At 34.7% G+C, this 27,239-nt stretch overlaps 1 protein-coding gene across 7 annotated transcripts in view; it reads left to right on the top strand.

The window, feature by feature from the left end:
- Positions 1-27,239, top strand: part of KCNK2 (potassium two pore domain channel subfamily K member 2) — a 231,549-nt gene that overhangs the window by 96,255 nt on the left and 108,055 nt on the right. For all 7 annotated transcript variants that reach the window (XM_017001249.2, NM_001017424.3, XM_011509524.3 and 4 more), the window contains one exon: positions 22,837-22,954. In XM_017001249.2, coding sequence (XP_016856738.1) covers positions 22,837-22,954 — 118 coding nt within the window. The remainder of the gene's footprint in view (positions 1-22,836; positions 22,955-27,239) is intronic.

The raw sequence follows: 27,239 nt of genomic DNA on the forward strand, positions 1-27,239 counted from the left end.
ACTCAAGTGTTTGTGATGATGCTGGTGTAAAAAAACCAACTGTACTGCTAGTCATATTAAAGTATTGCACATACAATTATGTACTACCTAATAGTAGATAATGACAATAAACAACTGTGTTACCGGTTTGTGTATTCACTATACTATACTGTTTCCATTATGTTATTTTGTTTTATTTATTTTTAAAATTTTTTGAGTTTTTAAATTGATATATAATAGTTGTGCGTATCTTGGGTGTACGTGTGATATTTTGATGCCTGTATACAATATGTAATGATTAAAGGAGGCTAATTGGGATCCCTTATATTAATATATAAATAAGTTAACTGTAAAAGTGTCTCAGACAGGTCTTTCAGGAGGTATTACAGAAGAAGGCATTGTTATCATAGGAGATGACAAGCATCATGCATGTCATTATTCCTGAACAGCTTCCAGTGGGACAAGATGTGGAGGTGGAAGACAGTGATATGGATGATCCTAAACCCTGTGTAGGCCTAGCCTAATATGTGTGTTTGTGTCTTAGTTTTCATTAAAACTGTTTGATTTAAAAAGTAAAAAATAAAAATAAAAAAGCTTATAGAATAAGGATATAAGGAAAGAAAATCTTTTTGTACAGCTGTACAATGTGTTTGTTTTAACCTAAGTTATTACAAAAGAGTCAAAATGTTAAAAAAAATTTTAAAGTTTGCAAAATAAAAAGGTTACAGTAAGCTAATGTTAATCTGTTATTGAAGAAAGGAAAGTATTTTTAATGGATTTAGTAGCCTAGGTGCATAGTGTTTATGAAGTCTGCAGTAGTGTACAGTAATGTCCTAGGCCTTCTCATTCACTCACCGTCACTCATTTATTCTCCCAGAACAACTTTCAGTCCTGCAAACTCCATTCATGGTAGATGCCCTATACCAGGTACACTATTTTTTTTATCTTTTCTATGTTTAGACACACCAATACTTACCATGTGTTATAATTACCTACAGTATTCATTACAGTAACATGCTGTACAGTTCTATAGCCTAGGAGCAAAAGGCTCTACCATATAGTCTGGGCGTGTAGTAGGCTATGCCATCTGGGTTTGTGGAGGTACACTCTATGAAGTTCACACAAGGATGAAATTGCTTAAGGATGCATTTTTCAGAACAGACCCCCATGTAAGAAACATGTGACAGTCATGCAGTGGCCTGTTAGAGGGATTAGATCAAATACATTTAGAAAGATTAATTGGAGAAATGTTTATGAAAGTTGGTTTGGTGAAGAATTTTCGAGAATGAGGACCAAGAGGGAACACACAGGGTTTGGGATAGTAGGAGAGGAGAGAACTTTTCAGAAAGAGATGCTTAGGGTGATGAGACAGGTAATGTGTGTATCTCTGGGACGATATAGGGAGAGAGGAGATGGCTGGTTAAGGATTCTGAAGCTGCTACTAGGTATTGAATTTAATGTGTCTAAGATTCCTCAAGAACAAGATAAATTTTTATGAGCATAGATGATACTAGATGATTCTCATGCATGGGCTCTTTGTGGTAGAGCTCTTTATTTCTGTTTTCTCAAAACAAATTCTAACATCTGTTTTAAGATAAAAGATGTTTATTTCACCTCTAAAATTTATTTTGTATTAAAAATCTTCCACAAGATTGATATTACTGGACATGTTATAGCTTACATGCTACCAGAAATGACTATGTAATTATTTTATTCTTAATAAATATAGGCTTCCTATTTTCTCTCTGGTTAACGAGTTCCAAAGCTTCACATCAGTTTTAATTTCTGGGAGATGTTTTATCAGACAATGACATTTGGCTCTTGATTTAAGCAGGCCTAAAAATCTATTTCATGAGGGTAATTTAAAATAATTTGGCTTAATTAAAATGGTAAATGATGTTATTTTATAATAATGATATCATTCCTGAGGCACATTTTTCTTGGACAGCTGTACTGTGCTATTATGCAAATAAGTATTTTTTGACGGGACAATAACTCCTGCTTTATTCTCCATTATTCAAAACCTCGCAATCATATTATTTCCTGATCCATAGACAGCTTGTGTGTCTGTGTGTCTGTTTTATTCCCTATCGTTTTCCCCTGATTCAGGATTAAATTGCTTCAGATAAGCCTTCTTAATAGGAACCTACTGAGATTCCTTTCTATTGAAGAAGAGAAAAAAATAAGCTAATCTTATATATAGGCCAAACTGGGATGAGTGTTTTTGAGTCTAAAAGGAAATACAAAGAACCAGCAAAAAATGGTGACTACATCTGAAAGGCAGGCAATTGTAAGAAAGAATCTTTCAGCAAAGTTGTATCAAAATATATTTTGAATTAATTGCATGTAACATTCAAAGGCATAAACTCATGGAATTTGGAACTTGGGATCTACCATAGATATTGTCTATTCAAACTCTGTCATTTTAGAGCTAAGAAAATAAACAATTTGGTCATTTTCCTAAGAGCATACTACTGGTTAGCAATAGAACAAACACCGGATCTGTGACTTCTGGTTTTTCAAACTCTCCTCCTCCTAATGTCCCCTTTTTACTTTTTCTTTCTCTTATAAATACCATCATCGTTCTAGGATCAGAGCTAGCTATTCCAGCACTTTTCATTTCTTTGAGTCGGTAACCCATATGTCTTCTTCTTTGCCCTACACAGCAGCAGTTTGCCCCAAACTCCCTGCAGGTGTGACTCACTGTTTTGCATTGATCATCTGTTCTCTTGCTAGTGCCTGCTTGCTGCCTCCTGTGCATTGCTGAATGAATTAGTGAAACGTCTCAGAATTTTAGAACTAGGGAAAAATCCTCCTGAATCTTGGGGAAAATAAAAGCAGGTGGTGTCTTTATGAAGTATCTCATCACCAAAATGCCCAAGTGAGGTTATAAATGGATTTTTAAAAAGGACTTCACAAATTAATGGATCATAAATACAAAACATGTTAGTAAAGAGAAGTGAGACAACTCAGAATTTTAAAAATTATTTTGTATGGTAAATGAATGAAAATTTTATGAATTAAATAAATATTTATTGAGTTCCTACTATGTGCCTAGCATTGTAAGGGGCTATGGGGTTTTTTTTCTAGGCAAATTGTGTTTCATCTTACATATTCTTTCATAACCTGATTATCTCATTTTGTAATATATCATGAACATCTATCCATATCTCTAAAATATAGATTTGTAGAACCCTTTTTAGAGGCTTTGTAGTATGCCTTTTTATGGATGTACCATCTTTTTAAACTGTTCTGTTATATCAGGCACTTAATTTTTTAGTTGTGGGAAAAAGCATGTAACAAGAGCTCTACCCAGTTAACAAATTTACAAATGTCTAATACAGTATCGTTGACTATGTGCACTTCAGTACCATTGACTATCTGCACAGCAGATCTCTGTAGAACTTTTCATCTTGCATGACTGAAACCCTATACCCACTGAACAGCAAGTCTCCCTTTTTCCCCTTCCTCCACCCACTAGCAACCAGCACTGTGTTTTCTGCTTCCATGAGTTTGGCCATTTTAGAGATACCTCATATAAGTGGGAACATACGGTATTTGTCCTTACGTGATTGGTTTACTTAGCGTAGTATTATCAAGTTTCATCCATGTTGTAGCATGTAACAGGGTTTCCTTCCTATTTAGGGATGGATCATATTCCATTGTATGTCTATACCCCATTTTCTTTCTTCATTCATCCATCGATGGACATTTCCACCTCTTGGCTAGTGTGAATAATGCTGCAATAAACATGGAAATGCACATATTTCTTGAATGTCCTGTTTTCAATTCTTTTATTTTTAATTATTATTGATTTATTTATTTCAACTTTTAGATGCAGGGAGTACATGTGCAGATTTGTTACAAGGGTATATTGTATGATGCTGAGGCTTGGGGCATTACTGATCCCATCACCCAGGTACTGAGCATAGTACCCAATAGTTTTTTAACCCCTGCCCTCCTCCCTTCCTTCTTCCCTGCTCTAGTAGTTCCCGGTGTCTGTTGTTCCCATCTTTATGTCTGTGCATACTCAATGTTTAGTTCCTACTTATAAGTGAGAACATGTGGTATTTGGTTCTCTGTTTCTGCATTAGTTTACTGAGGATAGTGAGTAAGCTGTGTCCATACTGCTGCAAAGGACATGATTTTGTTCTTCTTAATGGCTGCATAGTATTGCATGGTGTATATGTACCACATTTTTCTTATTCAATCTACTATTGACAGGCACCTAGATTGATTACATGGCTTTGCTGTGAATAGTGCTGTGATGAACATATAGGTGGATGTGTCTTTTTGGTAGAATGATTATTTTCCTTTGGGTAAATACCTAATAATGAGATTGCTGGGTTGAATGGTAGTTCTATTTAAAATTCTTTGAGAAATCTTCAAACTGCTTTCCACGGTGACTGAACTAATTTACATTTCCACCAACAATGTACTGGCATTCATTTTCCTCTACAGTCCTGCCAACACCTGTCATTTTTTTGACTTTTTGATAATAACCATCTGACTGGTGTGAGATGGTATCTCATCGTAGTTTTGATTTTACATTTTTCTGATGATTAGCAATGTTGAGCATTTTTTGTATGTTTGTTGGTCCCTTGTATGTCTTCTTTTGAGAAGTGTCTGCTCATGTCCTTTGCATAACTTTTAATAGGGATATTTTTTTTTCTTGATTTAAGTTCCTTATGAATTCTGGATATTAGGTCCAGAGTTTGTTGGATGCATGGTTTGAGAATATTTTCTCCAGTTGTGTAGGTTGTCTGTGTACTCTGTTGATAGTTTCTTTTCCTGGGCAGAAGCTCTTTAGTTTAATTATGGCACGCTTGTCAATTTTTGTTTTTGATGCAATTGCCTTTGAGGACTTAGCCACAAATTATTTGCCAAGGTTGATGTTGAGAAGGGTATTTCCTAGGTTTTCTTCAAGGGTTTTTATGATTTGAGGTTTTACTTTTAACATTTTAATCCATCCTGTTAATTTTTGCATATGGTGATAGGTAGGAGTCCAGTTTCATTCATCTGCATATGGCTAGCTAGCTATCTTAGCACCATTTATTTAATAGGGAGTTCTTTCCTTACTGTTTATTTCTGTTGACTTTGTTGAAGATAAGATGGTTGTAGGTGTGTCACTTTATTTCTGGGCTCTCTATTCTGTTCTATTGGTCTATATGTCTGTTTTTGTACCAGTACCATGCTGTTTTGGTTACTGTAGCCTTATAGTATAGTTTGAAGTCAAATAATGTAATGCCTCTAGATTTTTTTTTTTTTAATTTTCTTAGGATTGCCTTGGCTATTTGGGATCTTTTTTGGTTCCATATGAATTTTACAGTAGTTTTGTCTAATTCTGTGAAAATGATGTTTTTAATTTGATAGGAATAATGTTGAATTTATAGATCACTTTGGGTGGTATGGCCATTTTAATGATATTATTTCAATCTATGAGCATGGAACACTTTTCCATCTGTTTGTGTCATCTATGATATTTTTCAGCAGTGTCATGTAGTTCTCCTTGTAGAGACCTTTCATCTTCTTGGTTAGACGTATTCCTAGGTATTTTATTTTTTTGTATGGCTATTGTAAATAAATACCCAGAAACAGGATTGCAGGATTATATGGTAGTTCTAGTTTTAATTTTTTGAGGAACTTCCATACTATTTTCAACAGCTGCTGCACCATTTACCTTCCAGCCAACAGTGCACAAGTGTTCTAATTTCTCCACATTATTGACAATATTTGTTACTTTCTGTTGTTTTGATGATGCCATCCTAAGGGGTATATGTGAAGTACTATTTCATCGATTTGTGTTTTTCTGATAATTAGTGATGTTGAGCATCTTTTCATATACTTGTTCATTTGCATGTCTTCTTTGGCGTAATGTCTATGCAAGTCCTTAGCCCATTTTAAAAATCAAGTTATTTGTTTTTTTTTCTATTGAGTCATGTGTGTTCTATGTATATTTTGGGTATAAATCTCTTATCAGGTATAGTCAGCCTTCGGTATCCGTGGGTTCGGCATCCAGGGATTCAACAAACCACAGATGAAAAATATTTGAAAAACAATAGTACAGCAATAAAAATAATGCAAATAAAAACAGCACAGTATAACTACCATTTACACAGCATTTATGGTGTATTAGGTGTTATAAGTCAGCAGTTCTCAACCTTTTTGGCATCAGGAACCAGTTTCATGGAAGACAATTTTTCCACAGACCAATGGCGGTCAGGGGAGGATGGTTTTAGGATGAAACGATTCCACCTCAGATCATCAGGCATTAGATTCTCACAAGGAGCACACAGCCTATTATAGATCCCTCGCATGTACACTTTACAATAGGGTTTGAGCTCCTGTGAGAATCTAATGCCATGACTGATCTGACAGGAGGCAGAGCTCAGGTGGTAAAGCTCCCTGGTGGCCGCTCACCTCCTACTGTGCAGCCTGGTTCTTAATAGGCCATGGACTGGTATGGGTCTGTGGCTTGGGGGCTGGGGACCCCTGTTATAAGTAATCTAGAGATGATTTAATGGATATGTGTAGGTTATATGCAAATACCATATCATTTTATATAAGGCACTTGAGCATCCACAGATTTTGGTATCCATGGGTTGAGGAGATCCTGAAACCAATCCCTCATAGATACTGAGAGACAATTGTATATGGTTTCCAAATAGCTTTTCATATTTTATAGGTTACCTTTTCATTCTGCCGATTGTTCCTTGGCTGCCCAGAAGCTTTTTTGTTTGACATAGTCCTATTAATCTATTTTTGCTTTTGTTGCTTAGGCTTTTGGGGTCATATCCATGAAATCATTGCCAAGGCCAATGTTATGAAGCTTTTCCCCTGTGTTTTCTTCTAGAAGTTTTATAGTTTCAGGCCTTATGTTGAAGTCATTTTTTTTTTGGTAAAGGGTTTATTAAGCAGGGCTATTTTTAATACCAAAAGACAGCAGACAGCTCAAACAGTCACTAACAGAGGTCTGGTTGTTTAAATTATAGTAAACAAATAAAACAGTAGTATTCATCTGTGTGGGGTGGGATGGGTGGGTGGGTGTGGATGTGTGTGTGTGAGGGGTTGGGGAGAGGGAGGGAGAGATGAAGAAATATCTTCACGTGCTAACATGGAGTGAACTTCAGGATATAATGTTATGTAAAAAGCATAAAGTGGAAAAAAACGAAAATAGTTTGCTATTACCATTTTGTTTTTTGAAATGTAAAAGTGAATGAACTATATATATATGCATATATATATCATTCATTCATATATATATGCATATATATAGTTCATTCTCTTAATTAATTTTTTGATACATTATATTTGTACATAGTTATGGAGTACATGTTAAATTTTGTTGCATGCATAGAATGTGTAATGATTAAGTCAGGGTATTTAGGATATCTGTCACCTAAGTGTCTATCATTTTTGTGTGTTGGGTATATTTTAAGTTCTCTCGACCAGCTACTCTAAAATATATATTAAGTTAACCACAGTCATCCTATTCTGCTGTCAAACATTAGAACTTATTTTTTCTGCCTACATATATGATTGTACCCATTAACCAACCTCTCTTAATTCCCCACCCCTCTCCCGCCCACACACCCTTCCTAGTCTCTAGTGTTTTTCTTTCCACTCTCTACCTCCGTGGGATTTACTTCTTTTAGCGCTCATGTAAGAGTGAGAACATGTGAGATTTATATTTCTGTACCTGGCTTATCTTAATTAATGTAATAATCTCCAGTTCTATCCGTGTTGCTACAAGTGACATGATTTAATTCTTTTTCATTGTTGAGTATTATTTGTGTGTGTGTGTGTGTGCGTGCATGTGTGTCACACCTCTTTATTCATTCATCTATTGTTGGGCACTTAGGTTGATTCCATATTTTTGCTGTTGGAAATTGTGCTGCAATAAACATGAGAGTACAGTACAATATGTCCCTTTGATATATTGATTTCTTTTCTTTTGAGTAAATACCTAATGCTGGACTGGATTGTATGGTAGTTCTATTCAGCTTTTTGAGAATCTCTATCCTGCTTTTTATAGTGGCTGTACTGATTTACATTTCCACCAGCAGTGTATACGAGTTCCCTTTTTGCTATATTCTTGCCAACATCTGTTATTTTTTATCTTTTTAATAATAGCCATTCTAACTCTGTAAGAGTATATCTCATTGTGGTTTTAATTTTCATTTCTCTGATGAGTAGTGATGTTGAGCATTTTTTGTATACCTGCTGGCCATTTGTATGTCTTCTTTTGAGAAATGTCTATTTATGTCTTTTGCATATTTTTTAATGGGATTATTTAGTGTTTGTTGGGTTGAGTTTCTTGCACCTTCTGGATATGAGTCCCTTGTTGGATGAATAGTTTGTAAATATTTTCTCTTATTCAACAGGTTGCTTCTTCACTTTGTTGATTATTTCTTTTGCTGTGCAGAAGCTTTTTAGTTTAATATAGTCCCATTTGTCTATTTTTGTTTTTGTTGCCTGTGCTTTTGAGGTCTTAGCCATAACATTTTTGCCTCGATCAATGTCTTGAAGAGCTTTCACTGTGTTTTCTTCTAGTAGTTTTATAATTTTAGGTCTTATGTTTAAGTCTTTAACCCCTCTTGAGTTGATTTTTATGTATAGTGTAAGCTAAGGGTCCAGTTTCCCTCTTTTTGGTGTGTATATCAAATTTTCTCAAAACTATTTATTGAAAAGACTATCCTTTCCTCATTATGCAATCTTGACACCCTTGTTGAAGATCATTTGATTATATATGCATAGCTTTATTTCTGGATTCTTGATTCTGTTCCATTGGTCCATATGCCTGTGTTTATGACAGCATCACATGGTTTCGACATTTATTTTTGTTTTGTTCTAGATTTTTTCACATTTTCTAATCCCAAACATTTTTTTAAAATTTAATATACTATTTTTAAAGCATTTTTAGGTTCGTGGCAAAATTGAACAGAAAGTGCAGTGATTTCCCATATATTCCCTGCCCCCACACATGCATAGCTTTCTCCATCATCAACATCCTTCATCAGAGTTACACATTTGTTACAATTCATGAATTTACATTGACACATCACTATCACATTATTGTCATCATTATCAACTAATTGCTAACATTAAGGTTCAGTCTTGGTGTTGTAGAGTCTATGGGTTTGGATAACATACAATGTCATGTGTCCATTATTACAATAGCCTAAAGAATAGTTTCACTGCCCTAAAAATACTCTATGCTCTGCCTAACCCCTTAAATCCTGACAATCACAGTCTTGTTACTGTCCCCATAATTTGCTTTTTCAGAATGTCATATAGTTGGAATTATATAGCATGTAGCTTGGTAAGATTGGCTTCCTTCACTTAGTAGTATGCACTTAACGTTTTCTGCATGTCTTTTCATGTAATCTGAGAGCAGAGGTAATTTCGTGTCTTCTTTTCTGATTTGGATGTCTTTTATTTCTTTTTCTTGCCAAGTTGCTCTACCTAGGATTTCCAGTACTGTTTGAATAGAAATGGTGAGAGTGGGCCTCCTTGTCTTGTTCCTGATCTTAAAAGAAAAGCTTCAGTTTTTCACCATTGAGTATAATGTTAACTGTAGGGTGTTATATATGACTATTATTTGTTGTATATATTCATTCATTTGATGGTTTATCCTCTGTCACTAGGCTTTCTTTACTCTTTTAAATTATTTTTTTCCTTTTGCTCTTTTAACTGGATACTATCAAATGATGTTTGTTGAAGTTCACTGTTTTTTTCTTGTGCTTGATCAAGTCTGCAGTTGAACCACTCTAGTAAATTTTTCCACTAAATTATTGTATTCTTCAGCTCCAAAATTTCTGTTGGGTTCTTGTTTATATTTTATGTCTCTTGTTGACATTCTTATTTTGTTCATACATTATTTTTCTGAGCTTGTTGAACGTCTTTATGATGGTTATTTTGAATCTTTATGAGATAATTCATATGCCTCTGTTACTTTAGGATCAGTATGCGGAGATTTAGTTTGTTCTTTAATTGGGCCATGTTTCCCTGTTTCTTTATGTGCCTTGTAACTTTTATGATTGGATCTACGCATGTGAAATAAAGAGTCACCTCTGTAAATCTCTAAGGACTGGATTCATGTGGGGAAATACCTAATCACCAATCAGCCCTAATCAGCCTGCCTAGAGATTCTGTGGGCCTCAAATCTTTTTTATAGTTGTGCGTTCTCTGGACTTGTGCCTGTAAGTTACCAAGTACAGGGATTTACTCTTTTCTTTTTCAGGGGCTTGTAATCTCTTGCTCTCTCTGGAGCTACCACATGCTGCTCAGCTCTTCTTTGTTCTCAGTGGCTCCCAGACTTCTAGAGCGTGTTAGGTCCTGTTAATGCTGTTAGCTGGACAAGACAGGCACCAGTCCCTCAAGAAGCCTTTTGGAAAGTCTGCTTGCTGGACATATGTTTCAGTCAGTCTTCTCTTTCCCTCCCCTGGGAGAAACCCAGTGAGACATGATTAAGGTGGAAGACGGTAGTATTGACAATCCTGACCTTGTGCAGGCCTAGGATGATTTGTTTGTGTCTTAGTTTTTTTTTTTTAAAGTGCTTAAAAAGTTAAAAAAATTAAATAGTTAAAAAAAAGATTATGGAATAAAGATATAAAGAAAAAATATTTTTATACAGCTGTACAATGTGTTTTTGTTTTAAGCTTAGTGCTAGTACAAAAGTCAAAAAATTAAACAGTTTATAAAGTGAAAAATTTACAATTAGCTAAGGCTAATTTGTTATTGAAGAAAGTTAGTTTTATTTTAAAAATAGATTCAGTGTACCCTAAGTGTACAATGATGTCCTAGGCCTTCACATTCACTCACCACTCACTCACTGGCTCACCCAGAACAACTTCCTGTCCTGCAAGCTCCATTCATGTAAGTGTACCATTTTTTACTTTTATACCCAATTTTTACTGTATCTATCATATGTTTCCATATGCTTAGATACACAAATACCATTGTCTTACAGTTGCCTTAAGTATTCAGTACAGAAAAATGCTGTACAGGTTTATAGCTTAGGAGCAATAGGCTATACCATATAGCCTAGGTGTGCAGTAGGCTATCGCATCTAGGTTTGTGGAAGTACTCTCTATGATGTTCACAAAATGATGAAATTGCCTAACCACACCTTTCTCAGTATCACATTTCTCACTATCGCAAACTGACAGAATACAGTGTAGTCACGTGTCGCTTAACAGTAGATGACTATACTGTATTCTGACAGTTCATGATAGTGATTTTATGTCTACTCAAAAATCAGTAAGCATAGAATATACTACAAATGATTCTTGAGTAGTTAACATTATACTGGACACATAGGCCATATGCGACATAAACATATAAGACAAGGCCTGATGACTATTTAGAATGCATCATACACGTGGATAAAATAAAATGTTCACCGACGTTCAACTTTATGAGTTAGTTCTTTAAAAAATTCATTTATGAATGTATTTTTTTTGCTTAGAACTTTCAGTATTTCCACATAGAAATAATATTGTAAATGATAGCTATATGCAAGGTGAGGCAACCAAAGCAGTAATACAACTGAACTATTAATATAACCCCAAGACCTGAACCTGGCTTGCCAAGTTATTTTATTATTCTTTTGGCATATTTTACTTATTTTGACCAAGTGACCCACTTAGCCTCTTTCTGCCTCAGCTTTTGTGAAAGATAAGTATGTATCTGATTCCTCTTAAGTAACACTATATGCATAATGCTCACAAGGTTCTGGTGAAGCCCCTCCGGTCTTGCACTGCTGTTTCAAATAGTTAGCTTAAAGAGAAGTAGCTGTCTAGAGGACACCCAACATATTATTTATTTTTATTTTTTTGAGACAGAGTCTTGTTCTGTTGACAGGCTGGAGTGCAATGGCACGATCCCGGCTCACTGCAACCTCCTCCTCCCAGGTTCAAGCGATTCTTATGCCTCAGCCTCCTTATTAGCTGGAATTACAGGTGTGCAACACCACGCCCAGATAACTTTTGTATTTTTAGTAAAGATGGGGTTTTCCCATGTTGACCATGCTGGTCTTGAACACCTGGCCTCAAGTGATCTGCGCAACTCGGCCTCCCAAAATGCTGGGACTACAGGCATGTAATCCCAACAGATGTACAGCCCCAACAGATATACAGCAAGTGATTAAAAATGAAAGTGTGAGTGAGGTTCAAGTGTAGTTAGTCATCTCCTAATGCCCATAACCTTTCCCCTTCATGCCTCTTCTGAATCCTCGAGAGACTGCATGTTGCTTTTTTGTGACTTTTGACTTTTCTCTTTCCCTGCTTGGTTTAAAAGTTTTCTGCATGTTTCACCAACATAAACATATTCTTGGATTGTGGGAGTTAGGAGACAGATGAAGTGGAGAGAAGACCCACCAGCCTCATGCTTATTATGAGAATTCTGAAGCATCTTCCCTTTCATAGGGTGCTGTGCTCTGAAGCATTGTTGAGATTAGTATCTTAGTTGTGAATGAAGACAAACAATACAGTATAAGTGAGTGACTAATGTAGAAAACATGAGGAAAGGTGCCAAGTTCATTTTCAGCGCTGATGGTTGTGGTGTGACACTCTCATGCCAGCCAAAGAGGTGCCTGAGGGAAAGGTTTAATTGCACTTTTGTGTAATAACTACTGGACAGGTGTCAAAGGGTAGCTCCATTATTCCAGTTGGCTCAAAAAAGGGCAAGAAATTCTATCAGGTTCTTGTTTCTCAAACAAAATAGAGTTCAACCAATTCAGTATTTGCTATAACTGGTGAGTGTATGGGTGTGTAATTGAGAAAGGCGGGGGAAACTTGGAAAAAGCTAAGAAGCTAAGACAGAATCAGTATGAATCACTATGTTTTGGGAAGTTATATATTATTTTTGCTGTCTTGATTTTGTGACATTGAGCCAAGAAATATAAACATATTAAACAGTTTTGCAAGACTTCCTTTTCTCTGCATAATGTTAGCAAGTCATTAATAAACTTCCCATGCAGTATATTAAGAAGTTTTACCTGGAGCCTAAAAGCACAGAAATTTCTTGTAGGTTATTAATGGCAATGAGTCAACTCACTCAAAGTGAGAAATACACATTTTATGGGGCCTGAAACAGGATCTGTCTATCAGGATATTATTGGAATGTCTTAGTATAGTGCCTTTACTCATGACTAATTTGGGTTGTAGGAAGTTTGATTTATTCAAATATAAATTGTGTTAACTGGTTACTTTGTCAGGTGTGTGTGTGTGTGTGTGTGTGTGTGTGTGTGTACAAAGCTTGAGATTTTCAATCATCACTATGATATTTTAGTTACTATGATTTTTTAATTTCAGTTCTCACTATGATTCTGGAAGGACAGGAAAAAATCCTTTTGTTTTTAAAACTTACATAAAAATATTGCCTTTCTGTGGAAACTTGAATAATTTTCATAACCATTTCCCCTGCCTGTGATTACCTTTATATAGGTACAAAACACTTTCTTTTTGTTTAAACTTGTATCCATTATGGAACTATAGGCTTAAGTGCATTGGGAAATCAAATGAATAGAGATTAGTGACATTATATTGGAAAAAAACGAGAGGTTTTCCAAATTTAGGAACCCTATGGATGTGTGTAACTGACAGAGAAAAACATCCTTTTTCACATTTTAGCCTTTTTCTTCTCATCAGTTTAGAAATTCAGGCCTTAGAAAAATAATGTGTAAATAAATGTTGGTTAGTGTAGCACGCCTTGGGCAACATGGTACAAAAATATTGTTTCAGGTACTGTCTCCCTGATCTCAGTCTCCTGCCTACTCAAATCCTATTTTAAGGACAACCTCTTTTAAAGGAACTGCCTAGATAAATATCTTACTGTCCTAGAACTGTGTCTTCCTTACTAACTAAACAACCTTGATCTTTTTCCTCTCTCCTTGCCTTTTGGTTTCTTTCTGACTTCTTCTTCTACCTCCTTCTCTTTCATGCTTTCCTTTTTTTTTTAAAAAAATTAATCTTTTTCTTCCACTCATGCTGAGATGGGGTAGAAGGTGGCCAGAAAGATAGACAAAGATTAATGGTCCCATAAAATATTATTCCATACAGTAATATGGAATCTAGGAAGACTCATGGAAAAATGCACACCAGGGAAATGCCGCTTCAGTGTGCTTGCTTCACATATGTAGACTGGCTCCTTTAGAGTTGCACAGGGTCTTCATCATGTTTTTTTTTTTTTTTTTCTATACACCACTGTGCTCATTTCATTGAGGCTCAAAGGAAAAAGAATTTCAGTGTTTCAAGTTCAGCCCTTGCCTGATATATAAATCTTCCCTGTAACAAGTCAGCTAATGGTTACTTGCCCTTAGACATTAGACAGGTTTACTCAATAATAGAGGAATAGTTATGTAAACTATGTTAAATGTAGCTACTCAGTGAGATATTGAAGTCCTTAAAAATGATAGCTCTGAAGACTACAAAATGCCTTGGAATATGCTTATGTTATATGAAAAGAGTTTTCAGCAGATTTATTGTTACAACTATTAAAACGTGAATATATGCATGTTGCAAAATACTGTTTTAGGAACCGTGACTGATTTTTTTTCTTTAGTATTATTTTTCCAAATGTCCAATAATATGTATATTACTTTTATGATTAAAAAAATCTCCCTAAATGGATATGACCAGGAAAGACAACCCAAATACCCAGCAGTATGCTTCATGGTTTCTGGCCCTTCAATGATATCTGCTCTCAAATCTGTTGTTCCCTGCTTTGGATTTTAAGCTTTTGTTTCTACTAACAGAAAATAAATTTACACTTTCAAAAGAGCAAGAAAAAAGCTGTACACTTCATTAGTCTGTTTAAAAATAGCTTTGACACTCGATTGCATAATCCCCAAATGGAAGGAAATATATCAGAAGGTAAGCAAGATATTTACTTTTAGACGTGCTTCCTTAAAGTCTGGTGTGCAGAAACTGCCTTCTGTAGAAAATAATATCCCTTTTAAGTAATAAGAATTAAATTTTATTTTTATAAAGTCTTCATGAAATAAATATATTTTGACTCATATTTTTGTAAGAAACATTATGGCATATTGTTTCTTACAAAATCTTCCTTACAAAATATGCTGGGGGGGGAACCTTGAAAATATGCTTATCAGTCTCTAAGTGTAGTATGATTTAAACACCTATGTTTTGTATAAAATATGCAAAGTACTACTCCATTTCTTTTCTCCACATGAAATCAAATATATATTTTTATAAAGAAAAAGATTATTGATGCTAGGTTTTGAAAATCTAACATTTGTCAGTACTCTATAACATTACATTTAATTGTGGAATGTAACTTTGTGATTTCTGCATTTTATATTTAGACAGATGCCTCTATTTTTCCTAGAAAAAAATAAAACAAGTACCATGTCCATATAACTACAGAATTTCTGAAAAACTAGTTTCATGTAATGAGTCACAAAATTTGATATCAAATCACAGATATATGAATTAACTTCTATAAAATTTAATTATCTTAAATATTAAATAGTATCTCTGGATCTCTCAGATGTATGCAAAAATGGAATACAACTTGAATTTCCAGTAAGGATTCAACAATCACTCTGTGTTCTCTCAGAATAACATTCTAGGCAATAAAGGGTTTTCCTTTGATAAGTATGTATCCTTCACTGTAGAACTGTAATGAGAGCCTAATCGATTGATATGCTAGTAACAATGTTTTTCCTGTTCATGGAAATTAGCCTTAATTCTGCAGTAATAAATATCATACTGCAGTGAAATTTAGTATGTTATACACACTGTTCATCAAAACACAAGTACTATTCTTTTGCATGCTCATATTTAATTGCCATTTTGCCTGCACCAAATGCTCAGATATTGGCAATTTTATATGCTTCAGCCTAGTGTTAGCATTAACTGAGAACTGCTCATGGAATATTCTTGAAGAGCAATATGCTAGTGTAGTGTGGTTTTCAAGAAGTTGTTTGCTTCCTTGTTCGGTTATTAAGGGTCCTAGTGGCACTCGACAGGAATATTATTTTATGCAAGGAACCCAATGACATACTTTAGTTTCCAGAATATCATGAAAGGACAAAGAGGTAAAGAAGATGGGTCTAGTATCCTGCTGCCCCTTAGTGGAACCTAATTTAATATGTAAAATGGCCCAAGAAGCAGCCCAATCATTAAGACTGCCACATGTTACTGATGTTAGAGGAGGAGTGTCTTGTGTAAATGATGTCCATAAATAACATTCCAGATATATATGTCCAGTAAATTTTAAAAATACTTAGAAAATGGATAATCCAGTGTGGTTCCTCATTGTTTCAAACCTGCCAGTCAAGGTTGCCTAGGCTCCACCAGTGCAGTCTGTGAAATTCTGAGCCTGTAAGAGTAAGGGCCATGTTGAGATACTCTCTGGTTTTAATAGCAGGACCATTCAAAACAGCTCACATCATCTGGAATAAGGTAATCATAGTGTTGACACATAGCCAGAGGTTAAGAATGAGATGCATGAGGATCCTGTAGCCTTTGGCAACAATACTCACACATGACTGTGTATTATTGATGGGTGATGATTATTTTTGTGCTGCAACCATAAATCGTAATGATACCCACTATTATCTCCCCACAAAGTCTTTTGGCAATGAGAGCATCATTTATTATTTTACTTTCCTCATCCCACATTCTTCAAGTTTTTAAAAATAATCTTGCTTACATGGGTTGAAGTGGTCACATGTAGTGTTGTGGATGTGTGATTGGATTCGTTATCTAAAGACTAGTTTCTTCTCAGTGTGGAAACTGGCTTCCCCCGCAAAGAAATGGTCGCAAATAAAAATCTATAATTGCAACTACCAGAAATTTGGCAAGATGATACTTGTTACTGTTTCAGGAGCTGTGTTACTGTATATATGTCAGTATAATTATAAGTGGATTTGGCCATTGTACAACTTATTGGAAATTATGTCGTTTTTAAAAATGGAGAAAAAGCGGAAAAAATCTTAAATATCCAATTAAAATAAGTTGGCATCGAACCAGTTATACATATATCATTGGTATAAACTAATTAGGTGTTAACCCCTTGTACCTGCAGTTCAGAATTTTCTTTATCACTTAAAAGTGTTCAAATTATTAATGTGATTCTACTTTTAGGATGATAGGTGTGACAGCATATTTTAATGAAATCCTGATGATAACAGAGGAGGAATTTGTTCAAAACATTCTGTACTGTTTTGATGAACATAAACATCTCAGTATAGGAAAAATAAGTAAAATCAGAACTTCTGGTGCCATTTGTGTTTTAAGATCCACAATATAGCCTACTCTGAAAGCAGTACATTCTTCAGCCTTTTCCAAAATTGCTAAATTCCCTATATCTTCTTCTTTAATGAAAACATGGCCATTCTAGTACTTTATAGCACACAAAAAGCTGTTCCTTGGAGTTGGACTGACAGAAACATTTTCATGATTGTCAGTCACTTCCTTGAATGCCAAGTCTGTACTAGTCCCATATACTTACAAGTAAGTGTGTTTTATCATTGTTTGGTGTTAAAGTGAATAAAGCTCCAGAATGCCAGATGGCATTGAGACAGCATTTACAATTTACAATTCAAAAATCCACAAATTCACAGTGGAACTTTGTGAACTTTGATTCTAAAGCCACCATTGTCATGGAAATCAAGATGTTCCATAATTATCTTTATCATGTGTATGAGTATAAGCCTCCTAGAGCTCTATTTCTTAAGTTTAATGCTACACTCTTAAGTGGAACCATGTATTCAACTAATTTTCCTAGTGTCCATCCTATACTTGTCTATAAACGGAGGAGCAAAATTAAATGTGAATCCAATCAAGATTATCTTTTACTGTTTCTGTGGCAAGTTTTAAGTTTGGAAGCCCTTTCTTATTAATCAGCACTTCAGGTAATCATGTATTAGGATGAAATATATAGGATTCCATCTTCGCTTATCTTAACCTAAACCATTCAACTTATTCATAAGTTGTCAACATGACTTGATTGTACAGAAATGTTGCTTTTAATGAAAAAGTGAAATTTTATTATCTATTCGGTGATTATGTTACTTTAGCCACATAATGTGACACACCCAGAAACAGTTCTCATGAAGGCATTGGAAAAGTACTCTGATGACCTGAACTGATGTTGAAATTTCAGAGATTCTTAGCTCTACGTCAGTGAGTGGGAAAGGACATCCAGTTTCCTGTGGATGTTGACCAAGACACCTCATACAAAAATACAAAATAGACTTACAAGAATATTCTAGAGAAAAGACCTCATGGTAGACTCATTCTCATAGTGATTTGACATACCCTCAGCTCTATCTCAAACCTCTGTTTCAATAATTACAGCTCTGTGATAATGATTTACAACCCACATGTTGCCAGACACTACTGTTTCTGATTATAGTCTTCTTTTGAATTTAAATAATTTGTGGACTTTATCCAAGTGTCTGGGTGATGTTGTAATTCATTATTGATGAGAAAAAGAATAAGCTAAAATCATAGTGCTGGTTATGAAGGCTATATTAAATCAATTGCTATAGTCAATAAAATAATTTTAATTAATGGGGGCGGAGTCTGAAGACTTACCTTATCTTTTCTCATCTACAACACCATGTATGTTTCTTCTTTTCTATTGCTTCCCCATCACCTAGTACCATATACAACTGCTAAATATTTTTGAATAAATGAACGTGTTGAAGAAATGTACGTAAAATCTAAAAATATACTTTTGATGCAAGTATAATCTGTCTAAATTCCCCTTCCCTGATTTTTACTGGAAACATTTAGTTCTTCCTGAGAGTTACAAACCTAGATGACCCTGTACCTGTGCCTAATTGTTTGTGTGCACGTGAATCTGTGGCATTTCCATGTTTATTAACTGTGAAACCATTCCCTCCAGAGTAACTAGATAACAGCATGATGATCACAAGCAACTCTTTCAGATTTATGGAAGCCTTGATATATATTTTTAAGCTACATAGCCTATGAGTTCACTAGATTAGAGTGTATGAACCAATAACTTTATTTGATTTATGCTAAAATCGAACCATTTTATATTTCTTCACTTATTACCTCTGTTCCATCCCCTGTATGTTTATTGCTATCTTAAAATATTTTCCAAAGTTATTTTTTAGTTTTTTAAAGTTTTATGTCTTTTTTTGTTTGCTTGTTGTCATATTTTATTTAATTAAATGCCATTTTCTTGCCAACAGCCAATATATTTAGTGATTAAACACTTAAACCATTGATGACTTTATGTGACAAAAATGAAGAATCTGCTGTCATTATTCTTATTTAACTTAGCTCTGGAAAGACTGTTCAGTCCAATAAGAGTTGAAAATCAATAATATATAGCTATTGAAAGATGTGGAGATAAAATGCCATTATTTTAAAGCATTGCTTACTTTGGTTTTCCAGGTAAAAACCGAAATCAAACAAACAAACAAAAATAACAAGTTCAGTACAGAATAGTTGTTTTCAAAATGTGGTCCTCAAGACCCCCTCAGAGGTTTGTTAAGATCCAAGTTATTTTATTTATTTATTTTTTGAGACAGGGTTTTGCTCTGTCACCCAGGCTGGAGAGCATGATCACAGCTCAGTGTCCCCTTGACCTCCCAGGCTCAAGCAATTCTCCCACCTCAGCCTCCCTAGTAGCTGGGATTATGCCACCAGGCCCAGCTAATTTTTTGTATTTCTTGTAGAGATGGGGTTTCACTGTATTGCCCAGGCTGGTCTCCAACTCCAGAGCTCAAGTAATTCACCTGCCTCAGTCTCCCAAAGTGCTGGGATTAAAGGCAGGAGCCGCCACACTTGGCCAAAGATATTTTCTCTATAGTACTAAGATGTTTTTGTCTTTTCAATATAAAAAATACATAATAATGTGTCTCACTTTTTGAGTTTACAATGAAGTCTGCCAGCAGCTATGTGATGTGCTATTCCAACAGATTGAAAGCAGAAACATATTAAAATACACCTGTTTTCTATTAAGCTAGATATTAAAAGAGATTTATAAAATTGTAAAATTGTTTCTCTTCTCACTATGTATTTTGTTTTAGAGACATAATTATTTATTGTAAAAATAGATCACTTAGGTTAACATATATGGGCTTTCTTGATATTTTTACAAGAACATCTTAAAAATCAGAAATTCAAACCAATACAGGAAATGTGAACAGTTATAACTGGCACAAACAGAAGATCTTTGATATCTTCATTAATTTTTGAGACTGTAAACTATTTTAAGATAAAAATTTTGAGAATTGCTGGTGCAGAGGATTGGCAATATATATTTATGTATACAACAGCAATAACCAATTATAATTCAAAGTGGAAAAAAAGTGAAATATTTGGGAATAACCTTATAGATCTATATGGTATATATAATCAGTATAGTATAGGGAACTCAATACATAGAGATTCATACCATCTTCCTTGGTATGAAGTTTGAGTATTATAATAGTGTTTACTTTTTCATTTATAGATTTCATCTATTTCCAAACATTTAACATATGTGAAGTATTCAACATATTTCAATGGAAATGTGTTAAATCTATGAAAATAAAAATTTTTGTAAGATTTAAATTCTAAAGTTTATACAGGAATAAGAGAGCAATAACTACAAAAACATTTAAAAGAAAGATAATGAAGGGAAACCTGCCTTATCTGATACTATAGTTACAACACAGAGTTAGATGAATAGAATTAGCTATCTCAAGCTTCACTGTGTGTTGTGCATATGTGTGTATATGTATATACTTCTGTGCATTTAATATTAGATAAAGGAATCATTCATGTTCAGTATTATTCATGATAAGGGTTATATAAATGGAACCATATTTTATCACTTCATTAAAGATAAATGTCATTAATATTAGAAATATTGCTAAGCATTTGTAAATTGTTGGGGGGCAGTTGTAAATGGAAACAACCTTCTAAGATACTTATTCGCTACTATACATCAAATGCTTAAAACATTCATAATCTTTTTTTTTTTTTTTTTTTTTTTGAAATGGAGTCTCACTCTGTCGCCCAGGCTGGAGTGCAGTGGCACAATCTCGGCTCACTGCAAGCTCCGTCTCCGGGTTCACACCATTCTCCTGCCTCCACCTCCCGAGTAGCTGGGACTACAGGCGCCCGCTACCACGCTCGGCTAGTTTTTTGTATTTTTAGTAGAGATGGGGTTTCACCATGTTAGCCAGGATGGTCTCGATCTCCTGACCTCGTGATCCACCCGCCTCGGCCTTCCAAAGTGCTGGGATTACAGGCGTGAGCCACCACGCCCCACCGAAAACATTCATAATCTTTAATGTGACAACTTTATTCCTAGCAATCTCTCCTGGGGAAATGTTCAGAAATAGGAAAATATTTATACATAAATATGTTCACAACAGCACATTTTATATTAATTCAAATTTTAGAACAACATATATATCTACATATTGGGCAATGATTAAATAAATATGGTAATAAAAAAAACCTGCATGTGGAATAGTATTAACTAAGTAAGAGTAGAGAATACAAATATGTAAAAGAGGATATAAAACTACCAGGGGTAGATATTGTAATACATTAAAAGTGGTTATCTCTGGATTCTGGAATTATGGGTACTTTTTATTATCTTCTTTATGCCTTTTTGTATTTTCTTATTTTTTTTTTTTACAAAGATCATATATCACTGTTAAAGTAAATAAAAGCAATGTAATTTAATTTACACAGAACTATTGATATTTTAATTCATAGATTAAGACAAATCAGACATATTTCATAATGGTCAGTTCTGAAATGAGATTTTGTATTACATTTCAGCTATGGGTTACCTGTTCTTTTTCATGTGCCTGTGACTTCCTTGAGTAGTACCCCGTTTTCAGAGTGTACTTATTGTCCATTTGCCAGCAAACTGTGTAACCTTAAACCAAACACTTTTCTTCTCTTGGCCTTTAATTTCCTTATCAAAAGATGTTTCTTCCAATTCTATAATATGAAGATTAAGTAGTAAAGATCTCCAAAGCTATATTTCCAACTGAAACATCATCCTCTGTAATCTGTCTCTCTTCTACTGTACATTTTCTCCTAACATATTGTCTTATCTTTTGTGCTTCTCCTTCTCCAACCCCCACCTCCCAACATGGGATGATTGAAGAAGGGATTATAATGTCATCTTTCTGTCTTTCTCTTAGTACTACTCAACATTCTCAGCAATAGATCTTAGTGGTCTCTATGTAATATTGCTGGCAGATTGTCATCTACAGAGCTTTGGTGATTCTTATTGTCATAGAATTTATTAAAATCTGTAGAAATTCTAAGAGTCTACATCTACATGGACTGCCTTAAGCTTGAAAGTGAAGTCCTGTTGCCTTTTCCTTTTCATCTTAAGTTGTTTTGCTAGCTCTTTATGATATAGGCTTGGTACAGTTATAGCCAACCCAGACTTGGATCATATATTTAACATTTGAAATGAGCAGCACTTTGGAAATACTTTCTTTATGATGAAGCTATTATATATTATTGTAACTATAGTTTGCAACCTGCTATTTTTATGCTGTGGTGGTTACTGGAGGACATTGTTAAATTTAGTTGTTAATTCAAATAAGTCATTAAATATGTTAATGGATGACAATATGAAAGCATGTTGGTGCAATATTATAACCTTCATGCCAATCAATTCACTTGATATCACATGTCAGTTTCTTATAACTTAACTGTTATTAAATTCTCCAGTATAAAGTTTTAAGCTATATTATACATTTTAAATGGAAGAGCAAAATGTTAGAGTTGATTCTCTTTGTCAAATAAGTCATTTCTGGGGTGGAATATATGCTGTTTGATGCCTCTGTGTGATTCATGTGTACTGATAAATTTCTTTTTAAACTTGCAGCAAATAGTGGCAGCAATAAATGCAGGGATTATACCGTTAGGAAACACCTCCAATCAAATCAGTCACTGGGATTTGGGAAGTTCCTTCTTCTTTGCTGGCACTGTTATTACAACCATAGGTAGGAGACAACTTATTTTTGTTTTTTGTTTTGATACCGTTTGTGAGCTAAAATCCATTTGTTTGAATTTTTTGTATAGTTGGGCAAAATGATCTACTTAAGGTAGAAAAACTAGATTATAGTAAATTGATTTTGAAAAGGGGATTTAAAGATTTAAACAAAAGAATAATGGAAATGAATTAGTTATTTTAGAATACTGAGTTGACTTTAAAATACATGTGAAACAGAAGCAATGCAGCAGTCATTTGACTAATGGTAGTAATGTCAAGAAACAGCTTAAAATGATTATTTCTTTAGGCAATTAGTTTTTAATTTTCCTGAATTTTTGATATTTTTTGTGTAGCAATTTTGACATTCTTTTCATGGAAGTTCTTACGTGATATCACCTTTTCGAATTTGTAAATTTTAACTCTACATTTTAACAGATTGTGCCTGTTATATGGTCATTTATGATGATTACTTCAGGGCTTTTTTTTTATATACATTATATTTTGCCCGTAGCACATATATAAAAATTTAACACTGAAATGTAAGGATTATAAAAAGTATGAAAGTTTAGACCCCTGATGTTTTACCTTTTAATCGCATTGTTTGTTATAATGTTGAAAGGGTTGCATAATGGAACGTGGTCTGTTTTTTCAACTCACTGACACATATGTTTGACATCTTCTAAAGCGGCAGAATGGGTACATGTAAATGTCCTCTCTCTGCTAGTTTGTCATTCAGTGCCCAAAAGCTATTCAGGAAACCTAAACACAGACCCCACAGTGAAAGCTATGTTTGTGAATGAGAACACTTGGACACAGGAAGGGGAACATCACACACCAGGGCCTGTTGTGGGGTGGGGAGATGGGGGAGGGATAGCATTAGGAGATACACCTAATGTAAATGATGAGTTAATGGGTGCAGCACACCAACATGGCACATGTATACATATGTAACAAACCTGCACGTTGTGCACATGTACCCTAGAACTTGAAGTATAATAAATATATATATATATATATATATATATATATATATATATAAAATAAAATTTGAAAAAAAAAAAAAGAAAGCCATGTTTGTCATTCTGTGAGACTTGGGAAGGGTAATAGCTGCCTTGTTCATGGAAAGAGATGCATTTCAAGCATATTTTTTAAGAAAGAGAAGGAAATGGGCTCATCATAGTTATGAAGGAATTTCAGGTGTGAGAAAATATATGTAAAAAAGGGAGTTTTTTCTTTCCACATACCTTTGTGAAGAGATTTTCATCTCATGGGACTAGTTTCAGATTATGGGATAAATTGAGACCCTAAAAGTTTTAATCTTATTTTTTGATGTCATTCATAAATTATGACATGTATAACATTTTCATATCAGTAGATTATATCAAAGTACTAAATAAGAGAACATGGAAAATTTACGGATGAACTCTGACTTAAAAGTTTTCCTTTTACAGGTATTTGTACTGTTCTATTGTTATGAGTCCACTATAGTGCCTCTTTGCGCTGGATCACATGCCAGCAAAATACATACTTTAGCATGCTGATTTTTTGCCTTTTTTAAGAGGTCAAGAAACTATGTTTACTCTTACATTTCCATCAGCTAGGTCAAAAGTTGTGTGGCTGTGAAAATCTGGAAGAATGGCAACCTTGATTTCTAACCATAATAACAGGTTAAGTTTGGGGCTTAGACATCTTGGCCATTTCTACTATGGAAATAACTATTTATTGTGTAAACTACTTAGAGTCTAGAAGAAAAAAAGCTTACAGACTGAGTGAGAATGGTTTGTTTCTGCCAACGAAAATTCAAAAGTCTAAGTTATAACTCATCATGACCACCACTAAATTATTTTGCAGGAGACTCAGTCATTATACAGACTTACTGTTGCCCTGTATGTTTATAAACAGTCTCATTTTTTGAATCCCCTAATACAGTAAGTTTTGCAGACATACACTTCAACACATGAAAAAAAATAAACCATTATTACCAGCCTTACTCCAAATTATAGCCATTAAGCACAGTAGCTGATCATTTAGGCCCTTTAGGTAGTTGCCTGACAGCCCAGATCTCCTACTGTTCTATCTCAGGCTTTAGTCTTCAGTGGATTAAGTCATTCTGAGTGACCCACATGAGGACTTTTTACTGCATGGTCTTTTACTCTTGAGGTCAACACCATGTCCTCTAATCTTGGACTAGGTTATGGTGGTCTTGGGCAAGGGAAAAAATTTGGCCTCTTCCCTAAGTGTGCATTTGACATTAAAGTCATTATTCCATAAAATTCAAAGTATAATTAATAATATTGCTAATGATAATAATTGTGTGAACTTTGAAGTGATTTTTAGCAATCATAGAAATTATGACCTTTAGCAATAGCTGCATTGCATAAGACATTTTAAAATGACATTAGAAGTTGGGAGGGTTTTGGAAAATAAATTGCAGTGGCTTTTATAGGGTTCCTGGTACAGGCAGTGCTTCACGGAGCTGAGTTGGCCACAGTTGTCCAAGGTTTTTGTGTTCAATTTCATCAATTTTTCTAAGAAACAGACATGATCCTTACTATTCCTTGGAAATATGCCCAAGGAAGTTATACAAAATAAAATATTAAAATTTAAGACCAAAGTTTAGAATTCTCTTCATATATCTAAACATCCTTTCCAAAGTTATACCCTTCCAAATTCTTCACAAATTCTATTCCATAGTTTCACAGACTGAAATCCATTCTTGACCATTCCTTTTCTCTCATATGCCACTTCCATTCCATATACCAGTCCTGTTGGCTTTGCCTTTAAATTATATACATACTTTAACCACTGCTCCACATTCAAATTGCCACCATTTTTGTCCAAAGCAGCATCATCACATGCCAGCAGCATTGCAGAAACCTTCTGTTCAGAACTCTGCTGTGGTTTCCAGCTCAGTCAGAGCAAAAGCCATAGTCCCTTGCTGATTTTTCATAGTAAAATGCAAGCTCTATGAAGTTAGGGATTTTTAATTATTTGCATCTTGTCTGTATCTCCAAATGCCTGATACATATTGGGTGCATAATAATTATTTTTGAAACTAAAAACAAATAGGCATTTCATATGGTCTGAACTATGACTTATTGGAAATTACATAACACCATATTGATACCTGTGAGGCTAAATTATTAGCCCTTTCAACAGATTTCATTGCCAGTTTGTTTGTCTATTTATTAATTCAACAAATAATAAAACACTATCACTCTGTTGCTGTAAAGATAAAAAATAAATTCCTTGACTTTAAGTTGTACATAGATCAGTCAGGGAGAAGTGTGAATAAATACACATTTACAATACAGTGTGCCAAGAGTTGTGAGTTAAGAGCATTTAATGGGAACATATTGGTGCAACACTTTACATAGATATTGGGTGGGTAGGTGAGTGAGAAAGAGTTGAGGGATGCTTCCTTTTCCTTAGTAGGCATTGTCCCAGTTGACTGGAAAGAATTAGGAATTTGCTGGGTGAAGAAAGTTGGAAAGGGAGGCTTGCAGGCATCGGGAGCTCATGTGGAAAAGATCAGAGGTAAAAGACAGTGTGGTCTGTTTGGCTACTGCCATTTATCTAGAATGGCTGCTGGGAGTTGATGGGATTCATCCTCAGAATCATTTTAATCAGTAAGTCAATGTAAGAAGCTCCTGCTGGATCTGTGCTACTTCTGCTGCTGCCAGGAGTACAAAGGAAGTAAGGACGTAGTCCCTGCTTGCAATCTCATTTGGGAGACAACATTTCCACGTATGAAATGACTGAAGAATAACAAAAATAAGTCTTGGATAATCAAATGTAACACAGAGCAGGGGTTTCAGTGCTATGAGAATTGAGAAAAAGGGAAGAATACATGGGCTGGAACTGAAAGGAAAGGCTTAAGTGGGGAAGTTGGATTTGAACTGTGACTTGAAGAAAATGTTTTGATTTAGACTGAGGAAGGGGAAAAAGCCTCCCAGTCTGTGGCATGACTAAGCAAAAATCCAAAAAGAGAAGTTAGCTGGATTTGTTTTGGTGATAGAAAGGTAAGTGTTAGAGTAGACTTGTTTAAAGGAATTGTTTAAAGAAGAATTGTTTAAAGAAGTAGGGGGAAGTAATGTTGACTGCTTTAGATGAAAAGAATGCATTGAAAATAATCCCATTTTTGAGGATCTACTACAATAAGATGGAACATGGATTTTTAATAAAAGTGAAGTAAAAGTTTAAAAGTGACATTTGTCAGGAAGAGGATTAGCAAATACTGACAGTTTGTCTGAGAGAGCAGTTAGGAGGCATTGCAGTGACCCAGGGAAGGAGGG

Source organism: Homo sapiens, chromosome 1 (assembly GCF_000001405.40).
Source record: "Homo sapiens chromosome 1, GRCh38.p14 Primary Assembly".
In the NCBI taxonomy this organism is placed as follows: Eukaryota; Metazoa; Chordata; class Mammalia; order Primates; family Hominidae; genus Homo; species Homo sapiens.